Here is a 21,683-nt window from a genome sequence, read left to right on the forward strand (position 1 = left end):
TCAGGTAAAAGTAAAATGCTTCTGATTTTCTCTATTTATTAGGATAGAGAAAAATGTGTTACCAAATTAGTACCTACAACAGGTCAGAGAATGAATTGCTTTGTTCCATAAGAAGACTGCATTTGAAAAAGCACATGCAGTTGAAACCTACAATCTGTCATCCTCCAAGACACATCCATTTTGGAGACTTATACTGGACAGTTAAATGGGAATATAATAGGAATTGCTACCTATACATCTTTTAAGACTTGGATGGTGGCACTGATCTCTGTAATTACCTTGATGATATTTGGATTGGGGGAGCTCAAAAACTTCCATTGGACCTTCCTTCTCTAATAGTTCTAATTCCATGGGTCTGGCAGTCAATATTGCAAAATATATCCGTTCGTTAATAGACACTCAGGATTCAGGTATATAACCTAAATTAGGGGTGGGGGTCCAACTTGACTTACCAGGAGGTAGACTCTGTTAGAAACTCCACGTATCACCTGACTTCCATAAGTCCCCACCCTGACCTGTAGCTGGCAGTGGCATCCTGGATCACCAAACGTTAGACACTTGGAAAATGGGGAGAGTCTGGTATTTGTTATTGTTTTAAGGAAGAGGGGCAAGATGCAGTGGTTCACGCCTGTAATCCCAGCACTTGAGGAGGCCAGGGTGGGAGGATGGTTTGAGCCTAGGTGTTTGAGACCAGCCTGGACAACAAAGTGAGACCCTGTCTCTACAAAAAAAATTAAAAGATTAGCTAGACATGGTGGCACGTGACTGTAGTCCCAGCTACTAGAAAGGCTGAGGCAGGAGGATTGCTTGAGCCTGGGAGGTTGAGGCTGCAGTGAGCCTTGATCATGCCACTGTACTCCAGCCTGGGTGACAGAGTGAGACCCTGTCTCAAAAAAAAAGTTTTAAAAGTAACTCACAACTAGAATTTATTTTATTTTATTTTTATTTTTGAGATGGAGTCTTGCTCTGTCACCCAGCAGGCTTGAGTGCAGTGGCGCAATCTCAGCCCACTGCAACCTCCACCTCCTGGGTTAAAGCAATTCTTCTGCCTCAGCCTCCCGAGTAGTTGGGATACAGGTGCATGCCACCATGCATGGCTAATTTTTGTATTTTTAGTAGAGACAGGGTTTCACCATGTTGGCCAGGCTGGCCTCGAACTCCTGACCTCGTGATCTGCCCACTTTGGCCTCCCAAAGTGCTGGGATTACAGACGTGCGCCACCACGCCCAGCCTAGAACTTATTTTAATATAACTTTAAATTTACTTTTAATTCAGACCAAGCCTACATAATATTTTCTATGGTCCCCAAGTTAAAATATATTTTTATGTTTTGGAACTTCTAAATAAAACTATTCAGTTTATTTTAGAATCTGTTTAATAGTTACTTGATAAACATCATTTTTCAGGGTTTTCCTCCCTCTGTTACAGTATCTTACTCTCAGTATCTTTTTTGTATTTCTTGACTTTTTTCTCTTTCTAATCTTTTGATCCTCTCCCCACAGTCTGGCATGAATGTTTTTATCTTGCCATACTTATTTTCTGAAGTCTACAGATGTTGTTCATGGGGTTAAAATATTAAATGAAGGGTACTGTGTTCTGCTTTTACTTCTTTTAAAACTGTTTATTATGGAAATTTTCAAAGTAAACAGAATAGTATAAATAAACAGAATGGTATAATTAACTCTCATGTACTCAACTATAACAACGATATCAACATTTTGCCATTCTTTTTTCATCTGTACTTCTACCTACTCCCCACTCATCCACTCACTAATTTATTTCTATATTTTTTTCTTGTTTAAGGGAGATTTACGTATATTAAAATGCACAAATCTTTGCTGTGTCCACCCCGTTTTAAAGTATATGTTTCATTATTACTCAGGTATGGTGAGGAGGAGATGACTGTCATAGAAAAGATAGTTTGTTATACTCACTGATCCCTAAAGGGAGCACACAAGGATGTACCAATGTGGGTCAGGAGGCAGAGGGAGCAGGAGGAAAATGTGGGCAAAAACTTTTATTTTTTTTCCACTGTTTTTTATTTTATTATTATTTAAGTTTTAGGGTACATGTGCACAATGTGCAGGTTAGTTACGTATATATACATGTGCTATGCTGGTGTGCTGCACCCATTAACTCGTCATTTAGCATTAGGTATATCTCCTAATGCTATCCCTCCCCCCTCCACCCACCCCACAACAGTCCCCAGAGTGTGATGTTCCCCTTCCTGTGTCCATGTGTCCATGTGTTCTCATTCTAACTGGTGTGAGATGGTATCTCATTGTGGTTTTGATTTGCATTTCTCTGATGGCCAGTGATGGTGAGCATTTTTTCATGTGTTTTTTGGCTGCATAAATGTCTTCTTTTGAGAAGTGTATGTTCATATCCTTCGCCCACTTTTTGATGGGGTTGTTTGTTTTTTTCTTGTAAATTTGGTTGAGTTCATTGTAGATTCTGGATATTAGCCCTTTGTCAGATGAGTAGGTTGCGAAAATTTTCTCCCATTTTGTAGGTTGCCTGTTCACTCTGATGGTAGTGTCTTTTGCTGTGCAGAAGCTCTTTAGTTTAATTAGATCCCATTTGTCAATTTTGGCTTTTGCTGCCATTGCATGCAAGAACTTTTATTGTGGTTTTGGTGGTAAGGAATGGGTGAGGCAGGGTAAGGAGGTTTTAAGATTGGCTAGTTTGAATAATTTCAATGGACTCTGGGGCATAGGTTCTATCTCTGGTTGTCTGACATGTGGCCCTGGGATGATTGGGATAGGGAAATAATGGCCCTGGCTGTGAGAGCCTTGTAGAGGAGTTGGTTGGTAGTGTGAGTCTGGATTGATTGGAATGCGTATGAAAGGTGGACTCAGACAAGTTGTTTGCCATCACTAGGAATTAGCTATCCCTGGGAGAGGCAGTTCTTCCATGGTCAGCAAGGCCCAAGAGGTCAAAGCATCAAAAATACAGAATAAAAAGACATGATTACTAAACACCCTTATCACAATATAGGACATTTCCATCTCCCCCGAAAAGTTTCTTTGTGTCCCTTTTCAGTCAATTTCCACCATCCTCTAGACAACGACTGTTTTTATTTTTTTCCACTTGAACTTTGTTTTGTTCCAGAACTTTATATAAAAGAAGACTACATTGTGTGACTATTGTGTTCAGCTTCTTTTGCACAGCATGATGTCATACATACATGTTGCCTGTCTCAGTAATTTGTTCCTTTTTATTCCTGAGCGGTATTCCATTGTATGAATGTACCACAATTTGTTTATTTATTCTCTTGCTGATGGACGTAAACTTGTTTCAGTTTTTGTTATTGCACATAAAGCTACGATGAACATTCATCCTTTTGTTGACATATATTTTCATTTCCCTTGAGTAAATATTAGGAGTGGAATTGATAGGTCAAAAGGTTGCCTGTTTAAGAAACTGCCAGTTTTCTGAAGTAGTTGTAAGATTTTACTTTCCCAACAAGCAATTTGTGAGCATTTTGATTACTCAACATCTTCACCGACATTTAGTGTTGTTAGTCTTTTTACTTTTATGTTGTGCTTTAAAAAAAAAACTTCACAAAACCCTAAATTTAGGGTTTAAACTGATAGAAACACTTCTGTCAGTTTCTTTGACACTTGTATATTTTTCATCTATTTTATCATTTTCTAGAAAATTTGTCAGTTGCCTGAAAATGCTGCTCTGTTTTGGCTGGTGCCCACAAGCCAAATAGATTTACTAATCTCTCTTTCTTACACACACACACACACACACACACACACACACACACACACATCCCCTTCATAATCCAACAGGTATTTATCATTTTTTTTCTCTAAAGTATTATGCTAAATTTTGTGGAGGCATTTTTTAGAAATACAGTAAACACATTAACTGTACTCAGAATGAGAAAGGGAAATACAATCCAATAAGTAAAACACAAAGTAGAATGTGATACATGCTCCAAAAGAGGTAAGAAGGAAGACTCAGGTCTTGGAGCCTTGAAGGATATGCATGATTTTTACAGGTGGTGATGATAAAGAAGGGCCTCACTGATGAAAAGAATAGTGTGTTTTTGTGCCAGACTGTTAGTCTCATTCAGTCACACTTCAGTAATAAATTAGGCTCATTTAGATGGAACTGACTTGAAATTTCTCTCTTATCTTCCACAGTCTGTTTCCCTAGGCATTGTGGGCATCTTTGAGATTTCGAATGGTACCATCTCTTTGAATCGTCATAAGGACTATTCTGGGACTTTGCTTCATCAATTATTTTTCCTTTTTCTTGATTCTTCTATTTCATCTTCACTGAATTATTTCATTCCACCTATGTATGTATTCAAGTCTTCCTCCCTCCCTCCAACACTGTAAGAGAAAAAAGAATTATTTTCTCAATCCTATTATCTCTGTTAAGCTTTCATCCTGTTTTTCTCTCCTTTAACTTCAGTAGTATTCACTTAATGCTTCCACCTCTTAACATCGCCAGTTGTTCAACCTCTTGCAATCTGAATTTGATAAGGAAAATGTGGTTCATATACACAATGGAGTACTGTTCATCCATGAAAAAGATGAGATCCAGTCATTCGCAACAGCATGGAGGGAACTGGAGATCATTAAGTAAAATAAGCCAGGCACAGAAAGACAAACATTGCATGTTCTCACTTATTTGTGAGATCTAAAAAGCCCTCAACCACTTTTCTGGAAAAAAAAAAAAAAATTTTAAGGAGAATCCTAGCATCTCCTGTTCAATAAGTCTAATACTTTTTACTTTAAGGTCAGATTTTTTTTGGCCTATCTATAGGCACTGTTAGCCATATCTTTCTTCTTGATGGTCTCTCCTTCCTAGGTTTCACTTGATTCTCCTGCATCTGCCTTCCCTGACTCTTCTTCCATCCCTTACTGACAGTGTTTACCAAGGATTTCCCTTGGCCTGCTTCTTTCTTTGACGCTCATTTAAACCTTTCCCTTCAGTTGCAGACCTCGTCTGCTTCTCCCAGCTATTCCATTCTTCAGTTGCTTGTTAAACACGGCCCACCATCACCTCAAATATGATGTTAAAATGTCCCCATTTTTTATCAAACTTAAGTTTCTTCCTGTGGATCTGTTGCTCAGTACTCTCATCTTTCCGATCACCTAGAGGTAAAACCTCAACATTTCTTTGAATTTTTTTCCCCCTTTTGTTTGCCACATCTAATTAGTTGCCAAGTCTAATAATTTTAACCTCCATGACATCTTACTTCTTTTTCCCCATTTCTTTTTTTTTTTTAATTTTAGCTTTATTCTTTAATGAACTCCCAAGCACTCAGATTCCCATTTCTACTGTGACTATTCTGATTCAGGCCCTGATTTCAGTCAGTCTTTTGCAGTGACTCTCCCACAAACTTCCTAATGTAGAACTGTAGAAAGAGCATGGGCTCTGCAGTCAGATAGACCTAAGTGCTAATTGTGAAGATGGCCCTTCTGGCTGTCTGACTTATAGAAAATAATTTAATCTTAATTGACAGATGAGAAAGTTTAGGCACAGAAAAGTTAGTCATTCCAGTTCAGTCACAGAGAAGTTAGTCATTTCTACCTCATGAAGTATGCCATTCTGAAGGGTAAATGAGACAATGGGTGCTTAGTGAGAAGGTACTCAGAAAAATATTATTTCTCCCTCCCTTACTTTTGATCTCTTTACAACCCATTAATAGATTAATCTTCTTTAAGTATAACCTTCATCATATGAGAATCTTGTTCTTCAGTGGTTCCCCATTGTCTAATTTTCCATAATTCTTAGCCTAGAATTGTATACTATCAATTTGTGTCCACCTCCCTTTCTGACCTTATTTCTCCCCACTTGTCACAAACATCGCTTTGAGCCAAACCAAACCACTAGCAATGCCCTATAGCAGAATGGCTGAGAACATGAATTCCAGAATCATCTAAATCCCAGTTCACGTACTTACTTTGTGCCCATGAGCAAATTATTTAATGTCCCTAAACCTTTCCTATTCTGGGAGGGGTGGGGAGGGGGCGGGGTGGGGCAGAAAACCAGGATAATTATAGTGCCTACTGCATTGGGTTGTTGGAAGGATACAGTGAGACCAAGTATATAAAGCACTTGGTGCCTGGCGTGTTGAGAGCAGTCACTGTTGGTAGAAGTAGTAGTTGTTGATGCTGTTGTTACTCGTTTCTCCCATTTCCATCTCCATCACATTCACATTCTTTTCTCTGCGTGGAATGCATTTCTTCCCCTTTGTACCTGACTACATTTTATCTATCTTCAAAGCTCTTTCCTGGTTCTAGACCACCCTCCCCCTACTTTATCTTTCCACTTCATCATTCCTTGCCTCTTTTAGCTTAGAATGCTTATTACTTTCATATACTTATCTGTTTTATCTCTTTTATAAAAGACTAGAAGTGCCTTGAGGGCAGAATATGTAATTCAATTTTTGTATCTTCGAAAGCATAGCATCTTACACAGAACCATGCCAGAAAGTATTTACTGAATAAATATATTAATTTACTGTAACCAATAGCTCTTTGGTTCCTTTGGTTCTAAGGGGTTTATTCTTACTTCTTTAGGAACTTTTGCAGAGTCTCCATAAACCATTGGTACATTTTCAGAAACATTTAATTTTGTTATCAACATGCCATCCTTGGGTTCAAGAAGACTAAAGAAAAGACTTTATAGGAGAAGGCAATAATAACAAAAGCAAAACAAAAACTGACCAGATGACACTGCTTTGGATTCAGCAAAATTATTGTTTTTCTACACTGCCTCTTATTTGTTATTGTTACAAACATTCTACACCAAATATTATAGTACCTAGAATGGTGCCAAATTAAGCATTTTTGGATAATAGTGGATCTAAAATCTGTTTTACTGAAGTAAAAAAAATAACAAATAGTTAATACATTAAAATGTGATTAAATATCTAGTTCAGTTTGTTAAAATGAGAAATTATTAAGAAGTGTCACCTTCTTATGTTGTGGGCAGATGGAGTATTCTCTTGATAACTTCTCAAGGAACAAGCCACAGAACCTGGGAAGTGGGTGGGGGCGGAAGTGGGGGAATCTCTAGAATTTCTTCCCCACAGTGATTTGGCACAACGCCAGCTGTCCTTCAGCAAAGGTGTACTGTGTTCTTGTTAAAGGAGACTTATGCTTTTTAAAGGCTTTTATGCCTTTAAATGTATAGACGAATTAGATAGATTTTTAAATCGTGAATTTTTTTTTCTTTACTGATATAACACTTGGAAGCAATATTGAATAGTGACATTTAATTTTCTGTTGTCATATTACAATATCAAGGAAATTGATTGAGAGCAGGCAGCTTGGGCACCAGAGAAGTTTAAGAAAATGTTATATAAGCACTTTCTGCTGAACTTGGGGAATAAATACTTTTTTGTGATATGTAGATTCTTGTGTTTTTATAACTGTTTAGGGAAGATGTTCTGCTATAATGGCTGAATATAAGTTGCAGAGATTTAAACCCGCCCTTATATTAATGTTCCACCTCATTAACTTAATTGTTAGGGCGTTTACACTTCAGTGATTTAAATAAAATACTCTAAATGTGGTTCTGTTGTCTTTCCCTCTGTCTCCTGTTTGAGGTCTAGATGATTATGTATTTAGTTATGTGTTTTCATGTAGACCCTGTTGTTAATTCTATTAAGCGTAAGATGATGATGAAGGGAAGCTATTGTATAACTTTTGTGCTGCTGCAGCCCTGGAAGATAAGGGAATGTATTTATGAAACTAAAATGGTCACTTATTCAGCTGGTGTTTTGTCATTTTTACCTTCCAGTGTTATTCAGAGGACCAGGAACTTCATAGCTATAAGACTCCATTCTGTTTTGGAGTTCAGATTGCTGATTATATATGAGCTTTCACATGTATCCAGTGATATTTATAGCCCTAGAACCCAGATAAGGCAAAGTTTTGCTTAAAAGTAAGCTATGTTTGTACTTTAAAATGTTTCCTAAGCATTTTCAGAAAAAGTAGGATTATGCAATGAATTTCCAAGCAAAGTCACCTTTACAAATACTTTCACCTACCTGCAAATAGTAGACATATTTATGCAGTAAGGTTTTTTCTAAATGATTTACTGCCGGTTGTGAGCATCCCTTAGCACTGTCTATCCCAAATGCAAGTTACATGTCTTTGTTAAAAACATAGAGAAAGGCCAGATGCAATGTCTCATGCCTGTAATACCAGCACTTTGGGAGGCCAAGGTCAGAGGATCACTTGAGGCCGGGAGTTCAAGACCAGCTTGGGCAACATAGTGAGACTCTGTCTCTATAAACAATTCAAGAAAAAATTAGCCAGGCATGGTGGCACGTGCCTGTAATCGTAGATAGTCGGGAATCTGAGGCACGAGGGTCGCTTGAGCCCTTGAGTTTGAGGCTTGTAGCGAGCTGTGATTGTGACCCTGTCTCAAAAAAAAAGGAAAAAGAGAAAAATAAGTTAATTTTTCAGGGAAATGAAGCTTTTATGTTGTCAAGCATTTTTCATTTTATAACAGTATTTAATTGTGAATATATGGTGTTAAATAATTCTATGAAGTATCTGCTTGACCCATTTAAGTTGAGCAGTGAATTTCTGTTTTACCTAAGTTCATCTTTGTGAGGTATTGGTGTTCATTTCTAACTATTTCTTTTATTTTCCAGCTCACCAGCGACTGGAACCAGCAACTCTGTCAGGGATTGTAGGATTTATCCTTAGTCTTTTATGTGGAGCTCTGAATTTAATTCGAGGCTTTCATGCTATAGAAAGTCTCCTGCAGGTACTGTGCTATTTTTGCAATTTCAGGTGACTGTGCCTCTTCATTCTACTGGTTACATAATTGATTTGAATTGGATTGGGTATTAGTATAATTTACAGTGCATACTCAAAATCTATGTTTTTTTATATCTGCTTTAGCCTCCTTCTAAAAACACTGGTTGGCTTCTTTGATTCCATTGGCACATGTTTATCATCTGCTCTTTAGGAGGCACTATTTATAGGCACCCTGGGGACCCCAAGATGTGTGTGACATAGGCCTTGCAGTCTCATAACTGAAAGTTGAACTGGGGAGGCAAGAAAGTAATTGCCAAATACACAGAGTTGGGAAGGGGGAGAGGTCAGTATAATCAGGATTGGAGAAGGAAGGTTTTGTGGAGGAGAGTTGAACTGGTCCTGGAAAGATCTGATCAGACAGAGAGCAGTGGAAGAATGAAGAGGGCACACGTGGGCTGTGTTTATTCCACTTCTGTGTATTCCCTACTTAGTTCATCTGCTTCTTTTTCTTTTTTTGTTAGTGGCTTCTTAAAACTTGAGCTTCCTAGAAAACCACAAATTTATTCAGATATTGCTAACTATTACATTTTCAAGTGGAGTTCCTTTCAGAAGCTATAGCTATCAGAATATACTAATTTTTTCTCTTATGCTTTTTGTAAACTTTTTGAAATTTTTTTTTAAGTTTAGCACATTTGAGACTGCACAGCTTTCCTTTCCCTTATTTCTATTCACTTTCTCTGAAGAACTCTTGACACTCTCACATTATGAATCAGTCCTCTTTTTTTGGTCAGCATTAAGTGCAGAATACCATTTGTAAAAATCCACTGAGCACACTTTATATTCTGTTTTTAAATTGCTGTTAGTTTGGGGAACCCTCAGAGGGTATCTTTCTGCATCTGTTTAGCCATGTAAAGCCAACAGCAGATGACATCACAGGTTCCAGCAGCAGAGCTGTTCGTAAAGGAGATGGACAGGACTTCTTATGACTTCTTAGTTCCTCTTCCAAACACCCTTTGCCCTCAGGTTAAAGCTCGTCTCCCCTTTTATGCACAGGACAGCTGGCTGCTGTCCCTCGGCCTTTCTGTTTCCTGTCCCCATGCCAGATCAGATTTATTCCAGCAGAAGGAGTTCAGTTTTCAGCTGTTTAGATGACCTAACAAAAAGAAGAAACAAAGACAATTTGGAGACTGCTGATAGAAAAAGCTTACAAATAAGATACTCTTTTTTTTTGTACTCAACATAGTAGAAATAACAGTAGTATAGGGGTATGAAGAGTTGTTGGTGAAGCAGGCTTGGGCTTGGGTAGAGAAAATCTTGACCCCCACAGAGTTTCACTATCTTTGACTTATAAAACAGTATACAAGTTATGGAACCTGGGGCTTAGACTGCATTAACTTTAAGTTAAAATTCAGACAAGGCTATTGTATTCACAAAACCAGTTTAAGGGAACAGTACTTTATTTCAGGCACTCAGATATTATATCCCTCCTCTTGGGCTGATTTCTTTTTTTCTCCTCTGATTTAAAACTTAAAAACTAAGGAAAGTAGTATAAATTACAGCTTTCTTGCTTTTGAGATACTGCAACAGGCTAAAACCTACCTGGTTTCCTAATTGTTCCTTGTCTTCCCTCTGATCAGTAATGTCTCTGGCTCATTGCAGTTGATAGAGTTTTAGGTTTCAGAAGAACAATAATCTTATTAAACTAATTACCACTTAAGTGTAACTGACTGATAGCTCTGAGATTTCTCAGCCTATTATACATTTTAAAAAGACAACTTTACAGACCATGAATATTGATACAAAATCCTCAACAAAATACTATCAAATTGTATCCAACACTGCAGAAATAATTAACACCACAACCAGGTGGAATTTATCCCAGGTATGCGGGGGCCAGTCACCCTTAGAAGCCAATTAATCCATCACATCAACAGGCTAAAGAAGAAAAATCGCGTGATCATATCAGTAGGTACAGAAAAAGCATTTGACAAAATCCAAACCCCATCCATCATAAAAACTTGGAGCGAACTAGGAATAAAGGGAAACATCCTCAATTTGATAAAGAACATCTATTGAAAGAACGTACAGCTAACATCATCTTTAATGATGAGAAACTAGATGCTTCCCCCTAAGACCAGGAACAGGGCAAGGATGTCCCCACTTACCACTCTGTCCAACATCATACTGGAAGTTCTAATTGATGCAATAAGATGAGAATAGGAAATAAAAGATATACAGATTAGGAAGGAAAAAATAAAGCTGTCTTTGTTCACAGATGACATGACTAAGTAGGATATTGTTAATTCTCTTTCTATGTAGAATATGTCCAAAATCAACAACAATAGCAAAAACCTGGGATTAATAAGTAATTATAGCAAGATTGCAGGATATGAGGTTAATATACAAAACTCAATTGCTTTACTATATACCTACAAAGAATTAAAATTTGAAATTAAAAATATAATACCATTTATAGTGACACCAAACAAAAAGAGACACTTCAGAGTAAATCTAAAATGTATATACAAGATCTTTATGAGGAAAATGATAAAACTCTGATCAAATAAATCAAAGAAGATCTAAATAAATGGAGAGATATTCCATGTTTATAGACAGGAAGACTCAATATTGTTTAGGTATCATTTCTTCCCAACTTGGTCTATAGATTCAATACAGTCCCAATCAAAATTTCAAGTTATTTGATGGATATTAACAGTGATTCTAAAGTTCATATGGAAAAGCAAGGATGCGTTGTATAGGGAAAAACAGGCTGTTTGCTTCTGTACTCTCACGATTCTCAATACTTCCAGAGCTTCATTTTTGACACCAGATGTGTGGGAGGTTTTCTCATATCAACATATTCCCCAGTACCAGCTAGGTGTCCCTTAATTCAAATCACTTTTAACACTATCTGCCTGGAGTTAACCCAGATGTCACAGGTAAAGAGTTCAGTCCCACAAGAATGCCCCCACCTCAGATGCTAGTTGCAAGTTCAGGTTGTCACCAATTGGAAGTTCCCACAACCCCCTCCTTGGATTCAATAATCTACTAGAATGGTTCACAGAACTCACGGAAATATGTTTACTGGTTTATTATAAAGGAAATTACAAAGAATAAAGGTGAATAGCCATGAAGAGGTACATAGGGGAAGGTCTGAAAGAGTCCTGAGCACAGGAACTTCTGTCCTCATGGAGTTGGAGTTTGTCACCTTCCTGGCACATGGCACCCACCCAGAAGCTCTGTGAACCCCATCTTTTAGGGATTTTTATGGAGGGTTCTTCATGTAGGCATGATTGATTATTAATTCATTCTCTAGTTTCTCTCCCCTCCCCGGAGGGTGGGAGTAGGACTTAAAGTTATTAGCTTCTAATCATGGCTTGGTCTTTGTGGTAACCAGCCCCCATCTAGGATCTCACCAAGAATTGCCTGATTAGAATAAAAGATGCTCTTATTACCTGGGAAATTCCAAGTGATTTAGGAGTTCTGTGTCAGATACTGTTTTTTATCATATATATATATATGTATATATGTATTTGAGATGGAGTCTCATCCTGTCGCCCAGGCTGGAGTGCAATGGCATGGTTTCGGCTCACTGCAGCCTCTGCCTCCCAGGTTCAAGCGATTCTCCTGCCTCAGCCTCCTGAGTAGCTGGGATTACAGATGTGCATCACCATGCCCAGCTAATTTTGTATTTTTAGTAGAGATGGGGTTTCACCATGTTGGTCAGGCTGGTCTCGAACTCCTGACCTCTAGTGATCCGCCCACCTTGGCCTCCCAAAGTGCTGGGATTACAGGTGTGAGCCACCTCGCCCAGCCTCAGATGCTCTTATCACTCAAGAAATTACAAAGGTTTCAGTAGCTCTGTGTCAACACCAGGGTCCATGACCAAATATAGGGAACAAAACAAAAAAGACCAAATATGGAAACAAGAGTCTCCTAGCATGTTTATTTACAAGGGTTTTATTTTAGGAGCTCTGTGTCAGGAATCAGGGGCAGAGGAGAGAAGAAAAATATGTGGAACTCTCTGCTTAATTTTCTGTAGACCTAAAACTGCTCTTAAAAAGTCTATTTTAAAAATCCATCATTAAAACACAGACTTTCTCCATAATAAGAAGTTGGAGGGGCTGGGCACGGTGGCTCGCACCTGTAATCCCAGTACTTTGGGAGGCCGAGGCAGATGGATCACGAGGTCAAGAGCTCGAGACCATCCTGGCCAACATGGTGAAACCCCGTCTCTACTAAAAATACAAAAATTAGCTGGGTGTGGTGGCGCACGCCTATAGTCCCAGCTATTCGGGAGGCTGAGGCAGGAGAATTGCTTGAACCTGGAAGGTGGAGGTTGCAGTGAGCCAAGATCGTGCCACTGCACTCTCAGCCTGGCGACAAAGTGAGACTCCGTCTCAAAAAAAAAATAAAAAAATAAGAAGTTGGAGGAAAACTGGAAAGGGAGGAATGTTCTCACTCTGGGCTTTGATATTCTTTAGTTAGGTGTTGCTCCATTTGGCAGTTACAGTAGAACCTGTTGTGCCCAGCCCACTCTTAGGAAGCAGTGGATTGGGCCTTCTCTTCCTATGGAGGGACGAGTCTTCCTCTACACACAGGCCAGGTGAGGATAGTAGATCCCCAGCCATAATGGAGCCTGAAATCAGGAATTCATGTTTCAAGGTTACATGTACAAATGTATGCCCTCTCAGAACAATGGCCATTTTGAGAAAGCCAGTGAGAGACAGCCAGACCAGGTCCTCTGGCCTAGCACCCACCAGTGCCTGCCAGCTCAGCCCAAGTCTCCTCACCTAGGATAGCTTGATGGAATAACAATGTATTTTAATTTGCATAAAGAAACTGGAAAGATAAGAGACTAATGAACATGTTAGGAACTGGACAGATGGAAAATTGAGTGGGAATGAGACTTTTCCTGGTATATATTTATGTGTATCTTTTTATATGTTATTTTTAATTTTTGAATCATGAATATTTGACTCATTTTAAATATTTATTAGCACCTGTTATGTAAGCAGAAAGAAAGACAACTTTTGTTAACTTAATTAGTAGATTTTAAGCAACAAACATTTCAAGAAAGTAAAGGTAAATATTTTTGTCGGGGAGCCTGAATATTTTGCAGGGCATTGCAACTTCTTCCTGCCCCATGTTAGATTTCAGTTTCCCTAGAAACTTAAAGAGATTTTTTTGTTTTTTTGTTTATTTAAAACAGTTCGTCACAACTATGGTGGTGGAGTGTGAAAGAAGCATGGGGTATAAATTATGAATGGGGAAAAGGTTAGAGTGGTCTTTTTTATTAGTAGGTCATTTATAATTTGGGAACTCTGTGTGTAGGCTTGTATGTTTCTGATGGTTGATACAGAATCCTTTCTTTTGTCTTAGACTAAATTACTCTAACATTTCTTACTTACCTGATCCAGGGAACTGTAAATTGGTTCATATGGGGATTCTTAGCTATCTGGAAAATGAGGGCATTGGTACCTGCCTCTGTGTTCCCTTAGCACTTAAAGTCTTTGTTCTGCCATAACCCACCTGAAGTATTCCACATACACTCATTTAGTAGTTGAGGTTCCTGAGAGAGTGATTCTAAGAGGAGCAAGGAAACAACAGAATGCAAAGTTGGGGATAATGTAGTCCACAAGTAGTTTGTCATTCATAGGTAATTTTAAAAGATTTTCCAGCAAATTCTGATCCTCTCACCTAAATGAAAATCAGTACCTTTGCAAATCCACTTGACCAAAAGTAGAAACTCCCATTGTTCCAGTTATCGAGGACTTTATATCTGCATTGAGTACAACAATGTTCTGGTAAGTGACTAGTGCTTGGGAATATTTTTCCTTTCCTTTTCCCACTGTGAAGATAAATGAAGGAGCACTATATAGTGTTAGAATTCTCTGCTTTGTAAAGATTCTGTGTCCTAAAAGATGGAATGGATGATAAGTGAACAAAAGGAGAAAATGAAGTGTCAGAATGTAAATGGACACAATGATAAACTTTAGAGGTTTAAACCAGATAGGTTCAAGAGTGCAAACTAGAGTGATTTTCCGAGTACATCCTTAGCCCGACTTAACCTGAAAGAAAATACATACAAAATTGGGAACCTGAGGTCTCTTACTTTTAATTTTCCCTTATTGAAGTTTTATCATTGTTCACAACTTGTATTGGATAAAATATCCTTTTTATTTTCACTAAAGCCATTAGTCTTAAGACATACTCTTAGCCCTCTTTCTGGTTGATCATTACATTTTACATTAGGAATAATCTCAAACGTCACTCTGGATAATTTTTGGTTAGTAAAGGTAGAACTTTCTGAGGTAGTCTGCTCTGAAGACTTGAGTGCAAATCCCAGGACACAGGACTTAAAGTTTTATCTATTTTGAAGTTACCTACAGTGGTGTTATTCATATCACAATGTTAGAGGAGGGGGAAGGGCAGTACCCCAGATTGAGTGGGCTTACTGCTTCTCTGATACTTGATTTAAGAGCAAAGGACTTATTTGGGAATTATAATTTTAGATCTGACTGAAAATATGTAGTGTATTTCCTGAGTTTGAGTAATATATAGACATTAAAGCTTACTTTTTTAAAGCCATGAATTCTAAACACTCTTTCTGAATGCTGAAAATGACTGCTACATTTATCTCTAGTATCTTGAGGCTCATTTAAATTTGAGGACCCACATGAATCAACATTCTTGCATGTTATTAATGGTGTTTGAAGATTCAGCACAAGTTTGTTTCTTCCAGATTATTAACTGCCTCACAGGGTGATAGCAAGGGATTTATTCAAATACGTAGCACTGAAGTTTTTCTTGGTATCTAAGTTTAAACTGGGGAGGCTTAGGATGGGTATAGTTTTTTTAAGTTCATAAGTTTATTTTGGAGTCCACAGTAATATATAAATTAGATTATTTTCACTTCTTAACTTTGCTCTGAGTTTAGAGATGGTAATAAGTTTTTTGTGAATTGATACCTTATGAAGGCATAAGCTTTTTTCACATTGGCTTATATTACATGTATTTCTTTAAGGCTCAACCTTGAAACAATTACATTAATTAGGCTAATACCAACCTGGAAGTAATTTGCATATGGCACATTAGAAAAAAAATGGAATCTTTTGATATCTCAGTAGAAATGCTGACCTGGAAGTTAAGATACCTGGGTCCCATCTGCCAGTAACTTTGTGACCCTGCATGGGTTATTTTACCTTCTTGTATCTCATCTTGCAATTCTGCAAGATGAAGATTTTAGACTACATAAGCCCAGGGGCCATTTCTTAGGTCTTAGGACAGACAATCTAAGATTTCTCGGATTCTAAAATTGTTTGTAAAAGCTTCTACAAAGCAGAAGTCATCAACTTGCTTTTATTTCTTATCTTCTTTCCCATAGACTTGTTGATGCCTTTTAAAGAAATTATGTCCCTGCTGGCCAGGCACGGTGGCTCACGCTTGTAATCCCAGCACTTTGGGAGGCCAAGGCAGGTGGATCACGAGGTCAGGAGTTCAAGACCAGCCTGGCCAATGTGGTGAAACCCCATCTCTACTAAAAATACAAAAATTAACTGAGCGCGGTGGCAGGTGCCTATAATCCCAGTTACTCCGCAGGCTGAGGCAGGAGAATTGCTTGAACCTGGGAGGCGGAGGTTGTAGTGAGCCGAAGATTGTGCCATTGCACTCTAGCCTGGGCGACAGAGCAAGACTCCATCTCAAAAAAAAAAAAAAAAAGAAAGAAAGAAATTATGTCCCTGCTAATACTTAACAGAACTTTTTCATTTATTTAGTGACATATCTATGCTAAGGTGTGGTGCTTACTTTCTTTCAAAAGAAATAAAAGCATTTTTTCTGATTATATGCTAATTCATTGTTAAAGAATTAGGAGATCCTACAAGACAGTGCCATAAAATAGAAGATAATAAAGATTAAATAACATTAAAAAGTGGAGAAAGAAAATAAAAAAGTTATAAATAAATAAAATAAAAATAACAAAAAAGAGTTGGGGGAAATGTATAAAGAATAAAATAAAAATTATCACCAAATTTTCATACATGTACATGTATCCATTATGTCCTTTTTTCACTTAATATTAAAAAGTAAATATTCCCTAATTATTATAAACATTTTAATAGTATCCTCCTAATACATTGTGTGGCTATTATATGAGGCTTTTGTTTACCTTCATCCTCATCTTTTTTTTTCTTAAAGAGACAGGGTCTCGCTGTGTTGGCCAGGTTGGTCTTAAACTCCTGGCCTCAAGTAATTCTCCCACCTTGGCCTCCCAAAGTGCTAAGATCATAGCATGAGCCACTGCCCCTGACCCATCCTCATCTTTAAAAGAAAATGTCCTTTATTTGTTTTCAGAGCAATACATTGGTACTCTAGTATCCCCTAAAGGTGAATAGTGACATTCATAAAAATGTGTATTGGAACTCCTTACCTCTGCCCTCTTCTTCCTCTCCTCTGCCTTCCTTCCTGTCTCTGTTTCCCCACCTCTGTCCACTCCCACTTTTGTCCTTGTTCCTAACCTCTGCCCACCTTCCAACCTCTGGCTATTCCTTCACCTACATTTCATCTGCTGGTTCCCTACTGGCTCGTTTCCCTCAGCCCTGCTGTTCTTTAAAAAACAAACAATAACAAAACCAAAAAAGCCTCTTTACGTATGCTCTCTTCTAATTTTTTGAGAGAGTAGACTACATTTGTTGTCTTGCTCCTTTACCCTCTATTTCTTTTCTTTTCTTTTTTTTTATTATACTTCAAGTTCTAGGGTACATGTGCACAACGTGCAGGTTTGTTACATATGTATACATGTGCCATGTTGGTGTGCTGCACCCATTAACTCGTCATTTACATTAGGTATATCTCCTAATGCTATCCCTCCCCCCTCACCCCACCCCACAACAGACCCCAGTGTATGATATTCCCCTTCCTGTGTCCAAGTGTTCTCATTGTTCAGTTCCCACCTATGAGTCTTAGTCTACTATGATCTCTTTTCTGCTCCTGTAATTCTCTCAGATATCCACCATTAAGCTCACCAGTATCCTTTCAATTGCCAAATACAGCAGAAACTCTTTAGAGTCTTATCTTATGTACCCTCTCTGCCTCATCTGTCATTATGTTCTTCCTTTTAAACATTTCCTTGTTTAATTTCAAAAAATGAATTTTATTTCAGGAAACATAGACACAAGTCACTGTTAATAGTTTAATGTATTTACATTTTTCTTCATGACAAATCTCTCATCCGTTCATTTTTATGAAACTGTTTTCTCCCGTTTTGTTTTGTTTTGTTTTGTTTCTCTCTTTCTCTTCCTATTCCTCAGTTTATTTGATACACTTTCTTCCTCCACCTGTCCTTTACATAGTGGCATTCTCCAGTATTCTGTCCTTGGCTTTATATTCTTCCAACTCCATGCCCTCTTCTTGGTTACTTTCATAATGGCCTTTTTGAAAAAATACACATACATTTATACATACACACACACATACACACACACACAGTAAAATATGCACATAAAAATTTCAAAGCCTATAAGAGTTGATATTTTCACAGAAAAGTAATTGCCTCCCAACTTTCTTCCTCAGAGTCATCCTTCTAGGGAGATTATGTGCCTATGCTAGTATATAGGTATTTATATATTTACTTATGCAATTATTCTTTTAAAATTTTTATGAAAATGATAGCATACTCAATACTAATTTGCATCTTTTTAAGTCTAAAAATATGTAGGAGTTTATTTCACATCAGTACACGGAGATCTATTCTTTTTAGTGGCCGCATGACTTTTTATTAAATATTTGCGTTTTCCTTTTGCTGCACCACATAACATCTTATTTTGAAAGAATTCAAACTTATAGAAAAGTTTAAAGAACAGCAGAATTAACATCCACCCCATATACCTACCTACCATTTTACTTTCTTCTTTCTTTTTTTTTTTTTACTGAGTCATTTCAAAGTTAATACTGTAGGTATCATCTCAGTTTATTCCAAAATTGAATTCAATATGTATGTCTTAAGAGCTAAGATATTCTTTTACGTAATCATAATACCTTAATCACACCAAAGAATTTAACATTAGTATAGTATTACCTAATAGAAAATCTGTATTCAAATTTCCATAGTTGCCCCCAGAATGTTCTATATAGTGTTTTGTTCCTCTCTCTAATCTAGGAGCTAATCAAGAATTGAGATTTTTACTTGGTTGTCATAGGCCTTTCATTTAACTACTATTAAAATAGAAGACTGCCAAGTTAGATCTCTGGATCAAACTCTTTCCTGAAGCAGACTGAAATATCTGCTAAGTATAATTATTTGGATGTCCCACTAGCAGCTCTAGAATAGCATGTCCCACAGTGAGCTCAGTATTTTCTGCTCTTGAATTACTTTTCTTCCATATGCCCAACTTAGTGCATGGTGTCATTCAAACGTTGCCTAAACAAGAAGCCTCTGAGTCAATCTTAATCTCCTCCCTCTTTGACACTGTACGCACTACTTCCTTTGCCTTTGATTCTCTTCCTACCTTGCCTACCTGGTTCAGCCTTTAAGACCCAGTTTAAGCTTTACTCCATCTAGGAAGTCTTCCCTGGCCTTTCTTTTTTCTCTATGCAGAATTAGATGTGTCTCCATTGGGCTCCCTTAGTATCCTCTACACACACCTGTGCCATCAGTTATCACTTTGGGTGGTAATTATTGACTTACGTATCTGCCTTAATTAGAGTGACCTCCTTAAGTTGGTGTGGACTTAACTCTTCTTTTTCTTTCCTTTTTTTTTTTTTTTTTTTGAGGTGGATTCTCGCTCTGTCACCCAGGCTGGAGTGCAGTGGCGCAGTCTCGGCTCACTGCAAGCTCCACCTCCCAGGTTCACACCATTCTCCTGCCTCAGCCTCCCGAGTATCTGGGACTACAGGTGCCCGCCACCACGCCCGGCTAATTTTTTGTATTTTTAGTAGAGACATGGTTTCACTGTGTTAGCCAGGATGGTCTCGATATCCTGACCTCGTGATCTGCCCACCTCGGCCTCCCAAAGTGCTGGGATTACAGGCATGAGCCACCGCCCTGGCTGGACTTAACTCTTTTCTGTACTAGGGATAGTAACAAAGTACCTGGTTTGTAAATGCTTGATAAATATTTATTAAATGGAATAATATGCTAGTAGACAGTCTTCTCTGTATCAATTAAAGATTTTTTAAGTGACACAGACAGTAACCCCAGGGAGACAGGAGTTAGTGAATGTTTCTGAGTACTTACTATGTACCAGTTACTTTTCTTTGTATTTGCAAATGTTATTTCACTTAATCTCTACAACTTTTATTTTTCAAAAGAGGAAATTAAATAAGTGTCCCAGATTATAAGTAAATATTTGAACCCAAGTCTGACTGACTCTAGAAATATGCTCCTAAGTGTTTTAAAGGCATTTAAGGCCAGGCACGGTGGCTCACGCCTGTAATCCCAGCACTTTCGGAGGCTGAGGCAGGCAGATCACTTGAAGTCAGGAGTTCAAAATCAGCCTGGCCAACCTGGTGAAACTCCACTCTCTACTAAAAAGTACAAAAATTGGCCAGGCATGGTGATGGGTGCCTGTAATCCCAGCTACTTGGGAGGCTGAGGCAGGAGAATCGCTTGAACCTGGGAAGCAGAGGTTGCAGTGAGCCGAGATCGCGCCACTGCATTCCAGGCTGGGTGATAGAACGAGACTCAATCTCGAAAGAAAGAGGCCGGGTGCAGTGGCTCACGCCTGTAATCCCAGCACTTTGGGAGGCCGAGGCGGGCAGATCACAAGGTCAGGAGATCGAGACCATCCTGGCTAACGCAGTGAAACCCCATCTCTACTAAAAATACAGAAAAAAGTAGCCAGGCATGGTGGCACGCACCTGTAGTCCCAACTATTCTGAAGGCTGAGGCAGGAGAATCGCTTGAACCTGGGAGGTGGAGGTTGCAGTGAGCCAAGATTGTGCCACTGCACTCCAGCCTGGGTGACAGAGCAAGACTCCATCTCATTGAAAAAAAAAAAAAGGAAGGAAGGAAAAGAGAGAAAAGAAGGAGTGATTAAGAGAGTTAGTCTAAATTTAGAGAAAACTATAGTATCCAATTGTAGGACAATAAATTATGGTATATCCCCACAATTAAAGGTTATATAATCATTACAAATCGTGTGGTTGAGGAATATTTACTGTCTTGGGAAAGTGTTTGTGTAGTACTGTGAAGTACTAAAAAGTAGTATATAAAAGTATCAATCTATTTTTTAAAATGTGTCTACATATACAGAAAAGACTGGAAGGAAATACATGAAAGGGTTGGCAGTAATTTTCCCAGAGTTGTGGCATTTATAGGTTATATTAATTTCTTCTTTGTATAATCTGTATTTTCCAGATTCTCTACAATGAACATGAACTTTTATAATCAGAAAAAAAAAGGTCATTTAAAAAGTAAAGGACTAAAGAAAAAATAATCAAGCAGAACTTATTTAAGGTTTTAGAATTATTAAACTGGAAAGGTTTGGTGTTGGCCTTCCTTGCCTCTGGGGTGCAACTGGCCTGAGCATCCCAGGCAGATGAGTGGTTCCTATTTTAAGATCTTCTCACTAGGATAAGCCAGCTTTCCTCTGCCTTACAATCAGTTGCCCAATAACCAGTGCAAAAGGAATTTTTCCTTTATACTATTTTATGAAGAAATGATAATGAGATACTCTTCTGTGTCTTGTGGAAATTATCATTGTATAAAGAGGTTTTTTTTTTCTCTCTAATATAAGAAAAGGGCCAAATTAATGTTCCTGCCTGGAAGAAAAAAAAATGTAATGCTCCTGCCCGAACTTTATCTTTTACTGTATAAAAACATTGAAAGAAGTCGATAATGTAGATATTTAAGAAGAACCAAAAAGGCATAGGAAAGCATGGGTTGTTACATGTCTCCATTAGTTTTCTTTTCAGAGACATTCTATGCATGAGGTATCT

At 38.0% G+C, this 21,683-nt stretch overlaps 1 protein-coding gene across 6 annotated transcripts in view; it reads left to right on the forward strand.

Annotated features, from left to right (window-relative positions):
- Positions 1 to 21,683, forward strand: part of SEC22A (SEC22 homolog A, vesicle trafficking protein) — a 72,194-nt gene that overhangs the window by 35,321 nt on the left and 15,190 nt on the right. For all 6 annotated transcript variants that reach the window (XM_011512675.4, XM_011512676.4, NM_012430.5 and 3 more), the window contains one exon: positions 8,636 to 8,751. In XM_011512675.4, coding sequence (XP_011510977.1) covers positions 8,636 to 8,751 — 116 coding nt within the window. The remainder of the gene's footprint in view (positions 1 to 8,635; positions 8,752 to 21,683) is intronic.

Source organism: Homo sapiens, chromosome 3, assembly GCF_000001405.40.
Source record: "Homo sapiens chromosome 3, GRCh38.p14 Primary Assembly".
NCBI lineage: Eukaryota > Metazoa > Chordata > Mammalia > Primates > Hominidae > Homo > Homo sapiens.